This window comes from Homo sapiens, chromosome 1 (genome assembly GCF_000001405.40).
Source record: "Homo sapiens chromosome 1, GRCh38.p14 Primary Assembly".
Lineage (NCBI taxonomy): Eukaryota > Metazoa > Chordata > Mammalia > Primates > Hominidae > Homo > Homo sapiens.
In genome coordinates, this window is record NC_000001.11 from 201794167 (window position 1) to 201815745 (window position 21579).

Consider the following 21579-nt stretch of genomic DNA (forward strand, 5'->3'; position numbering starts at 1 on the left):
TTGAGATGGAGTTTCGTTCTTGTCACCCAGGCTGGAGTGCACTGGCGCGATCTTGGCTAACTGCAAACTCTGCCTCCCAGGTTCAAGCGATTCTCCTGCTTCAGCCTCCCAAGTAGCTGGGATTACAGGTGCCCGCCACCACGCCCAGCTAATTTTTGTATTTTTAATGGAGACCAGGTGGCCAGGCTGGTCTTGAACTCCTGACCTCAGGTGATCCGCCCACCTCGGCCTCCCAAAGTGCTGGGATTATAGGTGTGAGCCACCGTGCCCAGCCAACGCTATTTTCATTTCTCTCTTAGGACACTGAGCTGCTGGATTTGCGAGAAACCATAGACTTTCTGAAGAAAAAGAACTCTGAGGCCCAGGCAGTCATTCAGGGAGCCCTTAATGCCTCAGAAACCACACCCAAAGGTAGGACATCCAGCCACAGATTGAGAGGGAACAGGGAGCAGGAAAGTAAGAGTATTACAGATTTTTATCTGGGCCCATAGTATTCCAAGTCCTATATCAAGTCTCTAGAAGGTGAGGGCCTTTAGATACCCTTTAGTGTGATGTCTGGACTGGTCAGTGAGGAGTACCAGGGGCATGACCCCAGCTTCCTAGGGCATGAAGGCAAGTAGAGGAGACCTGTAAGCCCCAGGGGTCCTCTCCTTAACCTTTACCTCACGGCCAAAGAGCCATCAAAGACCATCGTTAAAATAGCCCTTTACATTTTTATGCAAATGTGTTGTGTGTCCACACACACACAAACAATCTTATTTGATCCTCACTTTAGTTCTCCAACTACTCTTCCAATGAAACAACCAAAGCTCACATAGGTTATATGGTGCTGAAATGGCAAGTTAGCCTGGACGTTTAGTAACCAGTCAAGCTTTGCTACAGAAGTCAAGATGGATGGGAGTCTGATGCCACAAAATCTGTGATCTCTAACTCCAGTCAGGTCTTCAAGATACCTTGGCAGTCCTCTTACTTGTCCACAGTCAGTTTTCTTTTTTATTCCACTACCAGTGATTCCCAGCTTTCATTGCTTTTTTCAAGCTCCTCATTCCACCACTGATTTGCCTTACTCTGAACATAGCTTTGGCGCCCCCCTTAGTTAAGAAAATGAACATTTTCAAGAGAGAACTCCATTGACTTTTCCCCACTCCATGCGTTTATATTCATCCAATACTTATTTATTTGTCTCCATTTTGTTGGAAGGATTCATCCCTTCTGGCCAAGAGTGACCGCTTATCTAATGTTTTGGGATGCCCTCTTTAGCAACCATACAACCCCCCTTTACCCAACACATGCCCTTTTCTACCTCTCTAATCTCTTATGCTCTATTCATTCCTTCCCTGCTTATAAACCTGCCAAAGGCTCTTGTATGTTAAAGGGGAAAGATGTATCAATCTATGTTCTAACTATAATCTTATTTCTTTGCTTCCTCCAGTCGATCCTACATTTCCACCTCCCTTTCACACCTAACCCCACTATAATTATGCTTCTGTCACCATCATTCTACCAAAAACACTTTCACTGCAGTCACCAGTGACTCCCATTTTTCCAAAATCCAACTTACAATTTTTAGTACTTATTTTCCTTTTTTTTTTTTTTTTTGAGTCGGAGTCTCACTCTGTTGCCCAGGCTGGAGTGCAGTGGCGTGATCTCAGCTTACCACAGCCTCCGCCTCCCAGGTTCAAGCAATTCTCCTGCCTCAGCCTCCTAAGTAGCTGGGACTACAGGCGCATGCCACCATGCCTGGCTAATTTTTGTATTTTTAGTAGAGATGGGGTTTCACCATGTTAGCAAAGTGTTTTTAAGACTCATCCATGTTGTGTCATGTATCCACACTTCATTCCTTTTTGTGGCTGAATAATATTCCATTGTGTGGATATACCACAGTTTGTTTAGCTGTTCATCAGTTGATAGGTAGGCATTGAGTTGTTTTCACTTTTTGCCTATTATGAATAATGCTGCCATAAACATTCATGTACAAGTTTGTGTGTGGACATATGTTTTTTGTTCTCTGGGGTATATACCTAGAAGTGGAATTGCTGGGTCATATGGTAACTCTATGTTTGACTTTTTGAGGAATTGGCAAGCTGTTTTCCAGAGCAGCTACACCATTTTACATTCCTGTCAGCAGCATATGAGGGTGCCGATATCTCCACATTCTTTGTTTTTGTTTTTTTGAGATGGAGTCTCACTCTGTTGGCCAGGCTGGAGTGCAATGGTGCAATCTTGGCTCACTGCAACCTCCGCCTCCCAGGTTCAAGTAATTCTCCTGCCTCAGCCTCCTGAGAAGCTGGGATTACAGGTGCCCGCCACCACACCCAGCTAATTATTTGTTTGCATTTTTAGTAGAGACAGGGTTTCACCATGTTGGCCAGGCTAGTCTCGAACTCCTGACCTGCAGTGATCCGCCCACCTCGGCGTCCCAAAGTGCTGGGATTACAGGCGTGAGCCACACACCCAGCCCTTATAGCTCCACATTCTTGCTAACACTTACTGACCTCTTTTTTGTAATAGCTAGCTTAGTGGGTGTGAGGTGGTATCTCGTTGTGGTTTTGATTTTCATATTCTTAATGGCTAATACCAAGCATCTTTTCATGTGCTTATTTGCTATTTGTATGTCTTTATGGAGAAATGTGTATTCAAATCCTTGGCCCACTTTTAAAATCAGGTTATTTGTCTTTTGTTGTTGAGCTTTAAGAGTTTTTTAATAATTCTGAATATTAGACCCTTATCAGACACATGATTTGAAAAATAGTTTCTCTCATTGTATGGGTTGCTGTTTTGCTTTCTTGAAAATATTCTTTGAAGAACAAAAGTTTTCCATTTTCATGAGGCATCATTTATCTAGTTTTTTCCTTTGGCTACTTGTGCTTTAGGTGCTGTATCTAAGAAATTATTGCCTAATCCAGGGTCATGAAGACTTACTCCTGGAATTCCTTCTAAATTTTTTTTTAGTTTTAGGTCTTTGTTCCATTTTTAGTAAATTTTTGTACATGGTATGAGGTAGGCAGTCTAACTTCATTCTTTTACATGAGAATATCCAGTTGTTCCAGCATCATTTGCTGAAAAGACTATTTTTTCCCCCACTGAATTGTCTTGGCACTCTAGGAAATCAATTGACTATACATATATGAGTTTCATTCTAGACTTTCAGTTCTATTCCATTCTTCTATATGAGTTTCTTTCTAGACTTTCAGTTCTATTCCATTCTTCTATATGTCTATCCTTGGCCAGTACCACATTGTTTTGATTACTGTAGCTTTGTAGTAAGTTTGGAAATTGGGAAGTGTGAGTCCTCCAACTTTGTTCTTTTTCAAGGTTGTTTTGGCTACTCTGTGTCCTTTGCATTTCCATGTGAATTTCAGGATTCGTTTGTTAATCTCAGATTGAATTTTGCTAGGGATTGCATTGAATCTGTATATCAATTTAGAGAGTATTGCCTCTTAACAATGTTAAGTCTTCCAATCCATGAACAGGCATGCCTTTATCTAAATATTCTTTCATTTCTTTCAGTGATATTTTGCAGTTTTTCAGCATATGAACCTTGTACTTATTTTGTTAAACTTAGTTTTTATACTGTTCTAAACTGAATTGTTTTCTTAATTTCTCTTTTGAGTTATAGATTACTAGTGTATAAAAATACAATTGATTTTTTGCACATTGATCTTATATCCTGCAGACTTGCTGGGCTCACTTATCAGCTCAATTGGTTTTACAATCTCTTCTTAATCTGTATTTCTATCCATATCAGTCTCCTGAGTTCCAGACCTTTACTTCCAACCACGTTTGGATGTTTCCACTTAGTTGACCTCATAGAGATATCTCTAACTTAATATGTCCAAAATTAAAGTCATCCCCTTCACCCCACTTACAACAAACACACAAGCCAACCTTTTCCCTTCTGCAGTTTGCGTATCTCAGGTATTATCATTTGCCTGGTTGCCCAAGCCTCTAATACGAGAATCATCTTTGATTCCTCACTGTTTCACCCTGTATAGTCAGTTAGTTCTAACTCCTACGTAGATCTCAATTCTATCCCTCTTCTGTATTGTCACTACCCTGGCTCAGGTTTTTATCATTCTTCTCCTAGAATATTTCAATAATTTCCTTACTGGTCTTGCTGTGCTCGTTCTTCCAGTGCTTTCCTTGCCCCCAGAGTAATCCAATTATATCAGTTAAGATCAGAAATTACTCCAGGCCAGGCACAGCGGCCCACGCTATAATCCCAGCACTTCAGAAGGCCAAGACGGGAGGTTCACTTTAGGCCAGGAGTTCAAGACAAGCCTGGGCAACATAGTGAGACCTCATTCTTAAAAAATTAGCCTGTAGTCCTAGTTACTCCAGAGGCTGAGTCTGGAGGACTGCTTGAGCCCAGGAGGTAGAAGCTGCAGTGAGCCACAGTGGTTGCACTGACTCCAGCCTGGGTGAGAGAGAGACCTGGTTTCAAAAAAAAAAAAAAAAAAAAGAAATCATTCCAATTTGAATATGGACTAGATATTACATGAAAAGAATTACTGTTCATTTTCTCTCTCTTTTTTTTTTTTTTTTTTTTTTTTTGAGATGAATTCTCACTCTCTTGCCCAGACTGGAGTGCAGTGGTACAATCTTGGCTCACTGTAACTTCTGCCTCCTGGGTTCAAGTGATTCTCCTGCCTCAGCCTGCCAAGTAGCTGGGACTACAGGTGTGTGCCACCATGCCTGGCTAATTTTTGTATTTTTAGTAGAGATGGGGTCTCACCATGTTGGCCAGGCTGTCTCGAACTGCTGGCCTCAGGTGATCCACCCACCTCAGCCTCCCAAAGTGTTGGGATTATAGACATGAGCCACCGTGTCCAGCCACTGTTCATTTTCTTAGGTGTGATAATAGTACTGTGGGAGAATGTTCTTATTCTTAGAAAGTACATCCATCTTCAAAAAAAAGAAAAAAAGAAAAAAGAAAAGAAAGAATACTCTGAAGTCTTCAGTGTCAACAGATGTGTTCTCTGTAACTTATTTTCAAATTGTTCAAGAAACTGTGTGTGTGTGTGTGTGTGGAGAGAGAGAGAGAAAGCAAATAAAACAAAATATTAACAATTGTTGAATTAGGTGGAGGGCATATGGGTTTTTCTGTGTGTAATGTGCTCTTCAAACATATATTTGCTGAATGAATGAATTGTGCTTTTTGCTATGAGTTTTCATGTTATCCTCAGTTCATGTTGATCCAGGCTTAACTTGGCAAGGAGGATTTCTAGGAACATTCAAAGAATCAATGCTTAGGCAATAATGCCTATCTTTATTTTATTTTATTTCATTTTATTTATAAATAGATAATAAATATACATGGTACAAAATTCAAAATGCACAAGAGGTTTCTTAACTTTTTGAAGATTGCTTGATTCTGCAACGTATCATTTGCTCTTAAAAGTACTACATAGGGTCAGGTGCGGTGGCTCACGCCTATAATCCCAGCACTTTGGGAGGCCATGGCGGGTGAATCACCTGAGGTCAGAAGTTCAAGACCAGCCTGGTCAACATGGTGAAACCCTGTCTCTACTAAAAATACAAAAATAAGCTGTTCATGGTGGCAGATGCCTGTAATCCCAGCTACTCAGGAGGCTGAGACAGGAGAATTGCTTGAACCTGGGAGGCAGAGGTTGCAGTGAGGCGAGATCGCGCCATTACACTCCAGCCTGGGCAACAAGAGTGAAACTTCATCTCAAAAAAAAAAAAAAAAGTACTATATAGTGTATTTTTTAAATGTAACTGATATATCTCAACTAATTGAAACCTTCAAATAACTGATAGACGGATGCATATACTTTGCTACCCTTTATTTTTTATTTTTTATTTTTATTTATTTATTTATTTATTTTTTGAGAGAGGGTATCACTCTGTTGCCCAGGCTGGAGCACAGTGGTGCTATCGCAGCTCACTGCAGCCTCGATCCCTGGGACTCATATGATTTTCCCACCTAAGCCTCCGGAGTATCTGTGATTAGAGGTGCGCACCACCATGCCCAGCTAACTTTTTGTATTTTTAGTAGAGATGGGGTTTGGCTATGTTGCCCAGGCTAGTCTCAAACTCCTGGACTCAAGCAATCCACCCACCTGGGCCTCCCAGAGTGCTGGAATTACAGGCATGGGCCACCACACCCAGCCCCTTTATTTTATTTTTAATTAACTAGTTTCAATTAAACTAATTCTTATCATAAAAGCAATGCATGTTCTGAGGGGGAATGTAAACTAGGGGTGGGCAAATCATGGCCCATCAGCCAAGTCTGGCTCACCACTCTGTTTGTAAATAAAGTTTTATTGGAAACACAGCCACACTCATTAATTTACATAATGTCTGTGGCTGCTTTCATGCTATAACAGCAGAACTGAGGAGTTGTGACCAAGACCCTATGGCCACAAAGCATAAAATATTTACTATCTGGCCCTTTACAGTAAATGTTTTCCTACCACTGAGATAAACTATATAAGAGGGTATATGGTGAAATATAAAATCCCTTTCCCTGAGTCACCCCTTCAAATCCCAATCCGCAGAGGTAAGAACTGCTAATAGTTTTAATCTTGCCAGAAATAAATATCTGTGTATATACAAACAAACATATATGGATACGTATATTCATTTTTACACAAATAAAGATTTTTTTTAACTTCAACTTGGTGTATCTTTTTTTTTTTTTTTTTTTTTTTTAGACAGGGTCTCGCTCTCATTCTGTTGCCCTGGATGGAATGTAGTTATGCAATCTCAGCCCACTACAACCTCCACCTCCTGGGTTCAAGCGATCCTCCTGCTTCAGCCAGCCAAGTAGCTGGGACCACAGGCGTGTGCCACCACACTCAGCTAATTTTGTAATTATTTGTAGAGATGGGGTTTCACTATGTTGCCCAGGTTGGTCTTGAACTGCTGGCTCAAGCCATCCTCCCGCCTTGGCCTCCCAAAGTGCTGGGATTACAGGCATGAGCCACCACACCCAGCCTCTTGAGAATTTCCCACGCCTTTTAAAATAACTGAAGTACTCTGTAGTATCATTAACTGGGTATGATAATCGTTGTACAAAGGGTTTTCCAAATACCTTATGAGCTTTGTAGTTATAGCATCAGATCCTACGATCTTGTTTTCCCTGTAGTATCAAGGGAAAATTAGAGTTTAAAAGATCCATTTCTGGTCATAGTGAGAGTGAGAAAAATAACCAAACCTTACCCACATCTCCTTCATCTAACAGGTTTTGTTTCTAGGAGGACAATTGCAAATAGCCACTTTACTACTCCCCTTCCTCTAGTTTAGTTTCCCTCCATTTCATCTTTCTCATTGTTAACATAGTAAGCTCTATTTTTAAAATATTTTTTTAAATAGAGATGAGGGCCTCACTGTGTTGCCCAGGCTGGTCTCAAACTCCTGGGCTTAAGTGATCGTCCTGCCTTGGCATCCCTGGGTGCTGGGGTTACAGTTGTGAGCCACTGAGCCAAGCCTAAAAAATCTTTGACATTGCACCATAGTTAGGCAAGATGTTTGCATTGGAGGAGGTTAAGTGAAATGTGCAGAGGACCTCCCTGTGCATTTCTTTGCAACTTCCTATGAATCTATAATTATTTTAAAATAAAAAGGATTTTAAAAATCAGATAATATTTTGCCTTTGCTTCAGAATTTCCGTTCTCCATTATCTATGGCACAAAGGCAAATTTCATTTAAAAGACATTGAGGGGGCCAAGCACGGTAGCTCACCCCTGTAATCCCAGCACTTTGGGAGGCCGAGGCAAGTGGATCACCTGAGGTCAGAAGTTTGAGACCAGCCTGGCCAACATGGCGAAACCCCGTCTCTACTAAAAATACAAAAAATTAGCCGGGCGTAGTGGCGGGCGCCTGTAGTCCCAGCTACTTGGGAGGCTGAGGCAGGAGAATGGCGTGAACCCGGGAGGCGGAGCTTGCAGTGAGCCGAGATTCCGCCACTGCACTCCAGCCTGGGCGACAGAGCGAGACTCCGTCTCAAAAAAAAAAAAAAAAAAATTAGCCGGGCGTGGTGGCAGGGGCCTGTAATCTCAGCTACTCGAGAAGCTGAGGCAGGAAAATCGTTTGAACCCAGGAGACGGAGGTTGCAGTGAGCCAAGATCGCACCACCGCACTCTAGCCTGCGCAAGAAGAGTGAAACACCTTCTCAAAAAAAAAAAAAAAAAAAAAAAGACATTGAGGGGCTGAGCATGTTGGCTCATGCCTATAATCCCAGCACTTTGGGAAGCCGTGGCAAGAGGATCACTTGAACCCAGGAGTTCAAGACCACCCTGGGCAACACAGCAAGACCCTGTCTCATTAAAAAAAAAAAAAAAAAAAGAAAGAAAGAAAAGAAAAAGGAGGCCGGGCGCAGTGGCTCGTGCCTGTAATCCCAGCACTTTGGGAGGCTGAGGTGGGTGGATCATGAGGTCAGAAGTTCAAGACCAGCCTGGTCAACATGGTGAAACCCCGTCTCTACTAAAAATACGAAAAAATTAGTGGGCCTGGTGGCGGGTGCCTGTAATCCCAGCTACTTGGGAGGCTGAGGCAGAGAACTGCTTGAACCCAGGAAGCAGAGGTTGCAATGAGCCGAGATCACACCACTGCACTCCAGCCTGGGTGACAGAGCAAGACTCCATCTCAAAAAAAAAAAGAAAGAAAAAGGAAAAAAGACATTGAGGGCTGTGCCTGATCTGGCCTGAGCCTAATCTCCACCCTCACTTTTTTCTGTACCCCCACATGTGCCCTCTGCTGCTTCCATTCCAGACTACCCACAGTTCCTCAAAGCAAAGCCAGTTCCCTGGACAGTGCCTTTGCATGTACCTTTTCTTCAACCCTAAATACGTTTTCCAAAGTTCCCATCTGAAAAATTTCTATTCTTTCAGTACTCAGACATCTCCTTTGTTAACCCCTTCCTCCCCTGTTGTAGAAAAGTAAGATTATTTTTTGTGCCATCACAAACCTTCTCAGAAAGCAAAGATTTTCTACCCACCAGATGAGAAAACTGAAGCTCTTTCAGGTGGAATGCAGGGTACATGGCTAGTGATGTATTTGGCTAGTATATGGCTAGTTCTTGGCCTTGGACCACCAGATAGCTAAGTATTGCTAGAAAAATCATGAAAAATGGTAGGTTGATATCTCCATAAAACTGTAGAGGGCTGGCTTTAGTTAAGTCCTTAGACTGATTCAAGCTGAGTCCATGACTCCATGCTAACTTCTGGTTCTTGAGAAAAGGAATCATTTCTTATTTAATTCTTACCTTTTGCACTTTTTCTATGTTGAAACATGATTGGGACTCAATAAATGTTTGCTGAATGAATGATCCAAAAAAATGAATAATGTGATTGAGGAGTTGGTTGGTTCTCCTTTCTCTTATCTTCTGCCACTAGACTTGCCTGAAGTCTCACATCCTCTCTAAATCTGTTCTATGTTTTTCCCACTTGTACTTGGCCCTAGAACTTCGGATCAAGAGACAAAACTCCTCAGATAGCATCTCAAGCCTCAACAGCATCACTAGCCATTCCAGCATCGGCAGCAGCAAGGATGCTGATGCGAAAAAGAAGAAAAAAAAGAGTTGGGTAGGTAAAGGTTTGGGGGGTGGGAAGTAGGTAGAACCGTGGTGGACCGCCTTCACCTCAGCATAGGGATCGAATCCTTCCAGGATTAACCAAGGTGTAGTCCCGTCTAACACTGAGCCCTAGTGTGATGTCCGCTCAGAGCATGGTCTCCCAGATTCTCCCTTCCCTCAATCATTTCCTACTTGTCCCCAAGGCCACCCCTCTGACCTTTATATGCATCTGCTTTCTTTGGGCTCTCCATACTGGTTAGGCCAAGATGTATTTGGCAACAGAAGGATGCTGAGGATATACTCAGAAGGAAACATCTTATCAGTTCTGTCCCCACCACCCCCCATTCCCTTCTATACTATGGAGAGATTTTATGAACAAAGCTGTTCATTCTAGACTCCTGGAGGTCATTTCTTTAATTTTTGGGGATGTTTTGTGGAGCTTTCCAGATTACTTCAAAGGACTCTTTATTATTACCTTTGGTAGGTCCAGAAGTCATTTTTGTACGTGTGGTTTTTTTCTCTTGCATAATCCTAAACTGACTTCGTATGACCTTTCTGAAATTCTTCAGGCAGGTCTAGACACTCTCAGCCCCTCTTGCTGACTGTGGTAAGAAAGCATCCCCAGGTGGACACGTCCTGCTCCTCTGTCCCCTGTTCAGTAAGACACACCCCCAGACCTTTGTATAATGCAGACAGGTACCAGCTGTGTGAAATGAGTGATTAAGTGTTGATTCTTTTTTTTTTTCCTTCAAAATGCTGACTCCAAATCCCTATTTTTTTCCAGGTCTATGAGGTAAGAGACCCAGTTCCTATCCCCTTATTTTCTCTTTCCCTTTGCCATACCTTCCCTATTTCCAGAGCAACTCCCTTCCCCTAAAAAAAAAAAAAAAAAAAAAAATGAATGACCACTCATAACACTAACTGTAACAACCACCCAGAGTTCCTAACTCACTCCACTGCATGGTCCATCCACAGCTGCCCTATGTGAGGACAGAGGAGTGGTCTGGTTGGGGGCCAAATGGGAAAGTCAAACAAAATTCAAATATATTCCCTACTATCTTCCCCTGTTACAAAATTGGCCTGTTATAAAAAGCAGTCAAATTGAGCTCCTCCTATCCAGAAAATGAACCTTCTTCTTTTTGGTTCCATAATACCTAGAGACCCAACATGGAAGAGAGTCACTGGATGAAAGTTATATTGACCACAGTTTCCAGAGGCCAGTTCAGCCTGGGCCTAACCTGAAGATTTAGCTCTAGAGTAGGATGAACCAGAGATAGGTGAGGGATAGAGACCAGGAGGGCACACTCAAGTCACCCCAAAGCCTAAAACTGTCTAAGCATCCATGGAGTTCCCAAAGACATTTCAGGGATGAGGGTTTGGTCTTAAGATGAACAGAAAATGCATCCAGAATTTCTGTTATGAACCAGATACCTGAGGTCCACTCTAACCCTACCCCAACATTGTGCTAGGTGTGTTGTGAAGGATATGAAAAATGGAATCTATAATCTCGTCATTAAGAAGGCTGCAGTATTACTGGGGAGACCAAAAAAATTATACATATAAAATTAATAGCAATCCAACAGTGCCACAATGCTTATTCGGGCAGTAAGTGCTAAAGGAGTTCACAGATGACGAGACAGTGATTACTATAGGCAGGGAAGACTTCTCAAAGGAGGTAAAAGTTAAACTGAGATGCAATTGTGATGGGTAGAGAGGAATGTGTTGGGATGCTTTCTACACAGACACTGTCTGTGCAGAAGAGAAGCAGAGGGAGATGGAGAAGGCCAGCTTAGCTAGAGCACTGACTGAGTAGGGTATAGTACACATAGGAAGAGCCTGATACTTGTTTAAATTTGATTTTTTAGATTAACATTTCCCAAAGTGTGTTCCACTGATTGCCAGCCCATTGAGATGCTCCTTAAAATGTGATACCATTGACTGGGCACAGTGGCTCAGGCCTGTAATCCCAGAACTTTGGGAGGCTGAGGTGGGTGGATCACTTGAGCTCAGGAGTTCAAGATCAGCCTGGGCAACATAGTGAAATCCTGCCTCTACTAAAAATGCAACAATTTGCTGGGTGTGGTGATGCGTGCCTGTGGTCCCAGCTACTTGGGGGCTGAGGTGGGAGGATAGCTTGAGCCTGGGAGGTGGAGGTTGAGTGAGCCAAGATTGCATCACTGCACTGTGGCCTGGGTGATAGAGTGAGACCCTGTCTCCAAAAAAAGAAAAAAGTGATACCATCGTCAAATAAATTTGAGAAGTACTGCATTTTCTCTCTCTCTCTCTTTTTTTTTTTTTGAGGTAGAGTCTCACTGTGTCACCCAGGCTGGAATGCAGTGACGCGATCTTGGCTCACTGTAACCTCGGCCTCGCGGGTTCAAGCAATTCTCCTGCCTCAGCCTCCTGAGTAGCTGGGATTACAGGCATGCACCACCATGTCCAACTAATTTTTGTATTTTTAGTAGAGACGCGGTTTCACCATCTCGGCCAGGCTAGTCTCAAACTCCTGACCTCAGCTGATTCGCCCACCTCCGCCTCCAAAAGTGCAGGAATTACAGGCATGAGCCACTGCGCCCAGCCTAAGTACTGCATTTTCTACATCTGCACAGAAAAAGTTGTGAGATATCCCCCAGCAAATAATCTTGTTTCATTTTGCTTAATCCATTGTTCCCTAAACTCATTTAACCATGGAACCACTAGCCACATAACACCAAACATCTCGGAACAGTTCTGGCTTTGGGAATACTGAACTACACATATTCTCACTTAGGATCTTATTGATCTTAGGGGCATATGCTTCAGGCAGCTTGTCATAGGATCTCTTTACACACACACACACAGCATCCCATGAGGCAGTGCTATGGAGAAAACTTCACTGGATTGAAAATTAGGAAGCCTGAGTTCTAGTCCTAAGTCTTACGTCAATTATGCAATTTCAAGCAAGTCAACTCTCTGGCCTTTTCAGGCTTGGTTCTTCATCTCTACAGAGAAATGAGCTTTATGGTACTTTTGAGCCCTGACTGCTCAGTGATAAGAAGTCACCTGGAGCCAGCCAGCTGCACACATACTCACTCATTCATGTCTCCACCACAGCCAAGTTGGTCCTCCTTTACATCTTGCCTGGTGGAAACCCCAAGATGCACCACCCACCAGCTCCATCCATCACCTGACGGCCTTCCTATGTTCCAGGAGAGACGCTTAGAAAGCGTACCCTCAAATTTTTCCTTCTTTTTTCTCACCGTCCCAAAGATCTGGTTTGCCTTTGTCCCCTATAACCTTTGACCCCTCCTTTACTCTCTGCCTCTTGCTGCCATTTCATATCTGTGTCCCTGTGTGTGTGTGTGTATGTGTGTGTGTGGTGTGTGGTGTGTGCATGCTGTATGGATGCATGTGGATGGGTATGGGACAGGACCCTGGTTTGCATCTCTAGCTCACATCCCTAACACCCAAGCTCATCAACACCAAGATCAAACAAGCTATGGTCAGATTATAATGCCCCAAGTACTCTAAAGAAATGCTGGGAAATAGCCCTTCTTCTAGGACATTGGAAATCATAGAAAATGCTGTCTGGCTGTTTTAACCATTCTGTGATGTCCTGGGCACAAGAAATACTAAAAGAAGCTTGAGCCCACTGCCTTCTCGTGTTCTCCACAGAATCATATTGTCAGTTTCTGGTTGACAGATGACTAGATGAACAGATTCTGGGCTGATGAGCCCTAGTCAGAGGCATCATGAGGTGGCCTCTGAGGCCCACAGTGAGCCAGGTTCTAGACTGAGCGGTTATTGTTCTGCTGCAGAAGGTGGGATTGGATCACTGAGCTGTATACCATGTGACCTCTGGGACCTTCTCTCTGTCCCCATCAGGGGCACAATTCCCCCTATGAGCAAGAGAACACCCAGGAAGTTCCCATAGCCTACAACATCAGCAAGCTAGAAGATTCTGTTCTTTCTCTTGGTCCTAATTTCCTTTCTTTCTTTCTTTCTTTTGAGATGGAGTCTCACTCTGTTGCCAGGCTGGAGTGCAGTGGCTCGATCTCAGCTCACTGCAACCTCTGCCTCCACGGTCCTAATTTCTAGGCAACTCTTCTGTCCGTATTCTATGAATCAAGTGAAGTGTTATAGAGGGTGGCTTAATTAAAGTAAATCCCCCGCCTCCAGCTCTCTCTGTCTCAGAAGTCTCAATCCAGTCCTCCCCCATCCCAGTAGTGGAGTCCTAATGTCCCTCTACCTGGATCTGCTTTTTTCTAGCTTCGAAGTTCCTTCAACAAAGCGTTCAGTATAAAAAAGGGGCCCAAGTCAGCTTCCTCATACTCGGATATAGAGGAGATTGCTACACCCGACTCTTCAGCCCCCTCATCCCCCAAACTACAGCATGGTTCTACAGAGACTGCTTCACCCTCCATCAAGTCCTCCACCTCGTCCTCCGTGGGCACTGATGTCACCGAGTAAGTGCTCTTTGGCTCCCTGCCACCCAGCCTGTTACCAGTGTAAGCTGTGGGCTAGAGTTGACAGGAGGCCATTAGACCTTAGACAAGCAGTACTTATTACTGACCTCTCCCTGGGCATATGAGACCAACAGATGGACCTTTCTTCTCATGCTGATTGAATATCAATGGGCAGGAGAAGCCAAGACCACCAACCATGCCTCTCAATATTCTCTAGTAACTCTAGTGCTTCTTCATGTAGCCTGGCTTGACTCTTGCTATCTTACAGGGGCCCTGCTCACCCAGCCCCCCACACTAGGCTGTTCCATGCAAATGAGGAGGAGGAGCCAGAGAAGAAGGAGGTATCGGAGCTGCGCTCTGAGCTATGGGAGAAGGAAATGAAGCTTACAGACATCCGCTTGGAGGCCCTCAACTCTGCCCACCAACTGGATCAGCTTCGGGAGACCATGCACAACATGCAGGTCAGTGTCTGGGCGGACAGCTGCAGGAAAGGGAAGACCAAGGCTTGCTGTCTGTCCAGTCTGCCACCCTACCCTGTCTGTTCTTGCCACAGTTGGAGGTGGACCTGCTGAAAGCAGAGAATGACCGACTGAAGGTAGCCCCAGGCCCCTCATCAGGCTCCACTCCAGGGCAGGTCCCTGGATCATCTGCATTATCTTCCCCACGCCGCTCCCTAGGCCTGGCACTCACCCATTCCTTCGGCCCCAGTCTTGCAGACACAGGTACCTGTGTGGGAGAAGAATCTATAAGGGTGAAGGGAAGAAAAGGGCTTATTTCACTGTTACACCATTCCACTTGCTTTGGTCAGGGCGGTAACAATGCCGAAGCCAAGCAGATGCCAGTGTCCTAAGACACTGAGTTGTAATGGTCCTTCAACCTTAACTACTTTTGAGTTTGGGACCTCCATTCCTTCTCTGTGGCAAACAGAGTTATTTTGGAAAGGATAATGATGGGAAAGTTTAGGAAAGGCTGCGGGTACTCCTAAAACCAGTTGGTTCTTTTCAATCCCCACAGACCTGTCACCCATGGATGGCATCAGTACTTGTGGTCCAAAGGAGGAAGTGACCCTCCGGGTGGTGGTGAGGATGCCCCCGCAGCACATCATCAAAGGGGTAAGGAACTTCAGGGAGAGCCACAGTGGGAATGAACAAATACTGTTACATTTATCCAAGAAAATCTGGACCCTGGGTACCTCCAAAACCAAAGAACTCAACTCCTAAGGCCTTTAGGACCCCGGTTCATGGAGTCATCTGCAGTGAAGCTCAAGAGCTTTTCCTTCCTTGGCCTTACAGGACTTGAAGCAGCAGGAATTCTTCCTGGGCTGTAGCAAGGTCAGTGGAAAAGTTGACTGGAAGATGCTGGATGAAGCTGTTTTCCAAGTGTTCAAGGTAAAGGGATACCTGTACTCAAAAAGGTTGTTCATCCTCTCGTGGAATATATATACTTTTTTAGAGACAGGGTCTCACTCTTGCCACCCAGGCTGGAGGGCAGTGGCGTGATCACAGCTCACTGCAGCCTTGAACTCTTGGGCTTAAGTAATTCTCCTGTCGCAGCCTCCTGAGTAGCTGGGATTACAAGCATGTGCCACCATGCATGGCTTCTCACAGGATATTAAACCGTCCAGGCACTGGGATCCTGGGGACCTTTGAGGCTTTATGGAGAAATGCTACCTAGGAAAAGCATATGCTCTGCACTTTCTCCATCTATTTCTGTTTCCTCTGATAGACATTCTTTGTTGTGGCTTTTACACCTGTGTTTGTATATTTTCTTCTTCTTCTGCCTGTCTTTTCTGTCAGGACTATATTTCTAAAATGGACCCAGCCTCTACCCTGGGACTAAGCACTGAGTCCATCCATGGCTACAGCATCAGCCACGTGAAACGAGTGTTGGATGCAGAGCCCCCCGAGATGCCTCCTTGCCGTCGAGGTGTCAATAACATATCAGTCTCCCTCAAAGGTCAGTCTTTGTCTCTTGGGGTGAGGTGGTGTGGCATGAAGGCAGGGACAGGATCATCAAATAATCCATCATGCATTCATTCACCAAGAACTCACTGAGAAGGTATAATATGAAGATGCTTAAGTAATGTGAGATATAAAAAGATGAGTAAGACCCAGTCCTAACTTTGGCTCCCAGGGACACTTTTGCTAAGCCTTGGCTTCTTGCTTCACTCCTCACCCCCAGCTCACAGCATGTCCCTAAAAAGAAGATCTAAGTTTTCAAAACTAGGGGTTAAGGGACTCTTATGGAACCATGGGGCAAGTGGCTCTGAGTTTCTTCAGGGGGCTCCTAGATAAAGAAAGAAAAGCCCTTTAGGATCCCTTGCTATCCTCAAGACCCTGGTCAATACTCATGCTTTCTGGGGTGGGGGTTCAGGTCTGAAGGAGAAATGCGTCGACAGCCTGGTGTTCGAGACGCTGATCCCCAAGCCGATGATGCAGCACTACATAAGCCTCCTGCTGAAGCACCGGCGCCTCGTCCTCTCGGGCCCCAGCGGCACGGGCAAGACCTACCTGACCAATCGCTTGGCCGAGTACCTGGTGGAGCGCTCTGGCCGTGAGGTCACAGAGGGCATCGTCAGCACCTTCAACATGCACCAGCAGTCTTGCAAGGTGGCTGCCCCCCGACACCCCTGCCAGCCTTTGTTCATGCCTCAGCCTTCCCTAAGACCCTTCCTCGGCCCCTTCCTGCCTCATTGTTCCCTTTTCCTCACCTCTGCCTTCATCTTTCTTCTCTTCTGTGTTCATTTCCTTCCCTCTCTATCTATCCCCTTTTCCAGTCTTCTCCTTTCCCTCCCCACGATTTCTTTCCAGCCTCTTGCCTTTAACTTGTTTCTCCACACTTTCCCTTGCCTTTATGGAGAAAGGCTTTCCTCTCCACACTTTTCCTTGCTTTGTGCACCTTCCTCCTCAGTTGGTCATTGATGAAACTGCATTCTCCTCATTTCTACCCCACTGTCTGCCAACCCTGTCAATCCCATCCCTTCTCTTTTGTTCTCTTCCTTCTACTTTTCTTTTCAGTATTACTCTCTGACCTTGGGCTATCTGGGAAGAAGCACTCAGAATTAAATGGTACATATTACACCCTCCCCTGCCAAAACCTGATGATGTCTCTTGAGTACCCTAATACAATGGAGTTGGTTCAGATCTTTGCTCTTCCCAGCTCGGGGAGGCATGCCCATTAGTAGTAGTCCATGGTACCAGTGAAAATCCATCTAGGAAATAGCATATGTTCCCCAACTTTGGGGAATTTAGGGGCTGCTGCTTAAGAGGGTTGCTTTAGAGCCTTTGCAACCACTGCTTATCACTCTGTGGTAATCTGCTGTAATCAAATTTGCAAGGAACTAAAGGCCCCAGGGGAATCTAGATCTAGTAAGACTTCTTCAAAATCCTGATTTCCAAGGCCGATCCAGCTGCTTATTCCCAAGTGCTGACCCACAGCCTTCTTTTATTCCAGGATCTGCAACTGTATCTTTCCAACCTAGCCAACCAGATAGACCGGGAAACAGGAATTGGGGATGTGCCCCTGGTGATTCTATTGGATGACCTGAGTGAAGCAGGCTCCATCAGTGAGTTGGTCAATGGGGCCCTCACCTGCAAGTATCATAAATGGTAAGTAAGCTGGGATCAAGACAAAATTCATCGAAGTGGGAGGAGGGAGAACCCAGTCCAGGACAACCTATGAGTTGTGTGCATGTGGCAGAAAGCAAGTGTGAAGGCAAGTCTAAGTGAATCTTTTTCCCCTTTCTCCCTACAGTCCCTATATTATAGGTACCACCAATCAGCCTGTAAAAATGACACCCAACCATGGCTTGCACTTGAGCTTCAGGTAAGACCTCTAGCTCTGGATGAACCTTCTGACCCTACCCAAGAGTCTTCAATCCTGGACTCTGGCCAGGAGGCAGTAGATAGGAGAAGGAAAGAGAAGTATCCAGAGCTTTTTGGGCTGGAAATAGAAAGTAGATGTATTTGTCATGTCAGTTACAAGGTGGAGGAGGACACTTGAGGAGAGAAAAGGCCTGCTAAGCTAAGAGAGAGCCAGGTAGGTTGCTCTAAGCAGAATTAGGATTCTCTGCCCGCACACGCTGATCTGGGTCAGTGATGTCAGAAGGTTATCCGAAGAGGGCTACCAATTTGAGAATCAGCTCTACCACCCCAGGGCTGCTGCTCTGAGTTCCGATGTCCCCACTATTACTTGAAAAGAAACCAAGTAGGCATTAGTGAGAAGCAGGCAGAAGGAGGGACAGACTGGCAGGGGCTGAACCCTGACAATGTCCCCATTGCCACTCTGACCCCACTTTCCCCATCCTTGGTGGCAGGATGTTGACCTTCTCCAACAACGTGGAGCCAGCCAATGGCTTCCTGGTTCGTTACCTGAGGAGGAAGCTGGTAGAGTCAGACAGCGACATCAATGCCAACAAGGAAGAGCTGCTTCGGGTGCTCGACTGGGTACCCAAGCTGTGGTATCATCTCCACACCTTCCTTGAGAAGCACAGCACCTCAGACTTCCTCATCGGTACTGGGGTCCAGCTTCCCCCGGGGGTCAGGAGGTGGCTTCCCTTTTCCACTGTACCACCTGGAGGGATGCTCCCTTCTCTTCCTGGAGTCTTCGGCATGTAAAGGAGCTGCAAGCCTTGTGGCTTCAGACTTAGAACCACTTAACGAGCCTTCCCAACACAGTTAGCACCACTTCAATCACCAGAAAGCTAACCCCTCTCCTTGTTTTTTTCCCACAATTAACAGAAAAAAGGAGGCACATATGTAGGAAGGAATTAAACAGCTTTCCTCACTCCCTTATCTCACTTCTACCTTGTGAAGCAGGACTTATGAGATTGCCATCTAGGCAGTCAGCACCCACTAGTCTTGACAACTCTAAATTTCCTTTAATCCTTTGACTGTCAGACCCCTCTGCCTGGTACTAAGGAGTAAAAGAGGCACACAACCGGGAAGATCTAGGTTCCCAGCCATCTTCATGGCCCCATCCTCTTCCCTAGGCCCTTGCTTCTTTCTGTCGTGTCCCATTGGCATTGAGGACTTCCGGACCTGGTTCATTGACCTGTGGAACAACTCTATCATTCCCTATCTACAGGAAGGAGCCAAGGATGGGATAAAGGTGAGCCCTACCCCCTTCACTCAAACCCTAAGATCAGGCTGTCCTACCTAACAAAGTAGGAATGTTTCTTTAATGTTAGGCATGGGACTACTAGGATTAGTTAGGTTCTCTTTCTAACAGGTGGAGCAAGGCACTGGGTAGACTAAGCTGCTTTCCTGCCTCCAGCTGCCATTCAGCAAATGGTACAATGACCACTGCCTCTGGGGCCATCTCTCCAGTCCTAGGCCTTCTGGCTCTAAGCCCAATTTAAACCACTCTCTAGGGGTCAGAGCAAACAGAAAAATAATTGAGCTAAGAAGTAAGTAAAACCCTAATTAAAACAAACAAACAAACAAACAAAACCTTAGCTACTTACTACTAATAAGTATGTTATATTAACCAAGTTACTTGACCTTTTTAAATACCCTCATATGTAAAAAAAAAAAGGAGACATCACCTTCTGCTCTACCTAAATCACTGGAGTCTTTTGAAGACAAAATGAAATATGTGAAAAGATTTTTAAAAGTTAGAATAAGGAGACCGGGCGTGGTGGGTCATGCCTGTAATCCCAGCACTGTGGGAGGCCGAGGCGGGCAGATCACCAGGTCAGGAGATCAGGACCATCCTGGCTAACATGGTGAAATCCCCTTTCTACTAAAAATACAAAAAATTAGCCAGACGTGGTGGTGGGCGCCTGCAGTCCCAGCTACTTGGAAGGCTGAGGCAGGAGAATGGCGTGAACTCGGGAGGCAAGAGCTTGCAGTGAGCTGAGATCACGCCACTGTACTCCAGTCTGGGCAACAGAGCGAGACTCTGTCACAAAAACAAAAACAAACAAACAAACAAAAAAACTTAAAATAAGGCTGGGCCTGGTAGCTCTCGCCTGTAATCCCAGCATTTTAGAAGGCTGAGGCGAGAGGACTACTTGAGCCCAGGAGCTTGGGCAACATGGGAGACCCTGTCTATACAAAAAATAAAAAAAATCAGCCAGGCATGGTGGTGCACACCTGTAGTCCCAGCTACTCTGGAGGGTGAGGCCAGAAGATCACTTGAGGCCAGGATATACAGGCTACAGTGAGCCATGTTCTCACCACTACACTCCAGCCTGGGCAACAGAGTGAGAACCTGTCTCAAAAAAAAAAACAATTAAAATTAAAAGTTAGAATAAAAACTTAGTGCAAAAGGAACATGTCATTTTCTTAAAACCACCTCAGTTTTCTTACCTGTAAATTAGGGTATGATGATCACTAAAGTCCATTCCAGCACTAATAAACTGTGATGTAATGGCTAGACCCATGGGTCATATATTATCTGTAAAAGTAACTTGTTATTGAGATAGATATCTCCTGGTGATATAGTAAATTTCTAAAGATGCTGTCAGACTGATGCCAGAAATCATTATTTCATTTATAAATTATATTATTTTAAGGAAATGTTGCATTATTATTAGTAGCTTTTCAATTTAAAAGCATTTTCACACAGATAGTATTTGTTTTCAAGAAAGTAAAAAACAAAAAAAAAGCCGGGTGCGGTGGCTCACGCCTGTAATCCCAGCACTTTGGGAGGCCAAGGCAGGCGGATCACAAGGTCAGGAGATCGAGACCGTCGTGGCTAACACAGTGAAACCCCGTCTCTACTAAAAATACAAAAAATTAGCTAGATGTGGTGGTGGGCACCTGTAGTCCCAGCTACTCGGGAGGCTGAGGCAGAAGAATGGCGTGAACCTGGGAGGTGGAGCTTGCAGTGAGCCGAGATCACCGCCACTGCACTCCAGCCTGGGTGACAGAGGGAGACTCTGTCTCAAAAAAAAAAAAAAAAAGTTAAAAAAAAAAAATTAAGCATTATGACTAAAGCGGAAACATTTCCTACTTGAAAAATGAAATTGTAGGGTCATGAGGTTTGTGCATGTTAAGTTTTAATGAAACCTAGGCATCCATCAGTAGATGAATGGATAAAGAAAATGTGGTATATATACACACAATGGAAAATTATTCAGTTGTAAAAAAGGAGGAAATTCAAAGCCAGGCATGATGATGCATGCCTGTAGTCCCAGCAGCTACTCTGGAAGCTGAGGCGAGAGGATCTCTTGAGACCAGGAGTTAAAGTCTAGCCTAGGCAACATAGCGAGACCTTGTCACTTAAAAAAAGGTGGGGTGGTTGGGGGATGGGGAAGAAATTCTGTCATTTGCAACAACATGGATAAACCTGGAGGACATTATGTTAAGTGAAATAAGCCAGGCACAGAAAGACAAATACTGCATGATCTCACTTATACATAGAATCTAATGAAGTCAAACTCAGAGCAGCAGAAAGTAGAATGGTGGTTACCAGAGGCTGGGCAGGGGGGTAGGTGAGTAGGAGTGGTTGAGGAGATGTTAGTCAAAGGATACAAAATTTCAGTTAGGAGGAATAAGTTCAAGAGATATATTGTACCATATGGTGACTATAGTTAATAACAATGTATCATATACTTGAAACTCACTAAGAGAATAGTTTTTATTTATTTAT

At 44.6% G+C, this 21579-nt stretch overlaps 1 protein-coding gene, 1 long non-coding RNA gene and 1 other non-coding gene across 11 annotated transcripts in view; 2 read left to right on the forward strand and 1 right to left on the reverse strand.

Moving 5' to 3' along the window:
- Positions 1-21579, forward strand: part of NAV1 (neuron navigator 1) — a 287843-nt gene that overhangs the window by 255040 nt on the left and 11224 nt on the right. For 5 of the 9 annotated variants that reach the window (NM_001389617.1, NM_001389616.1, NM_020443.5 and 2 more), the window contains 14 exons: positions 300-411; positions 9427-9548; positions 10323-10331; positions 13787-13983; positions 14252-14444; positions 14537-14705; positions 14998-15095; positions 15276-15371; positions 15780-15939; positions 16357-16592; positions 17437-17591; positions 17737-17808; positions 18299-18495; positions 18974-19092. In NM_001389617.1, coding sequence (NP_001376546.1) covers positions 300-411; positions 9427-9548; positions 10323-10331; positions 13787-13983; positions 14252-14444; positions 14537-14705; positions 14998-15095; positions 15276-15371; positions 15780-15939; positions 16357-16592; positions 17437-17591; positions 17737-17808; positions 18299-18495; positions 18974-19092 — 1935 coding nt within the window. The remainder of the gene's footprint in view (positions 1-299; positions 412-9426; positions 9549-10322; positions 10332-13786; positions 13984-14251; positions 14445-14536; positions 14706-14997; positions 15096-15275; positions 15372-15779; positions 15940-16356; positions 16593-17436; positions 17592-17736; positions 17809-18298; positions 18496-18973; positions 19093-21579) is intronic. The other 4 variants (NM_001389615.1, NM_001167738.2, NM_001389612.1 and 1 more) reach the window with 1 other exon arrangement.
- The window catches only part of IPO9-AS1 (IPO9 antisense RNA 1), a 141304-nt gene that overhangs the window by 105911 nt on the left and 13814 nt on the right, over positions 1-21579 (reverse strand). The window lies entirely within an intron of this gene.
- Positions 14445-14536, forward strand: MIR1231 (microRNA 1231). The gene has a single exon (NR_031599.1). It is a non-coding gene; the product is annotated as a microRNA 1231 (primary transcript).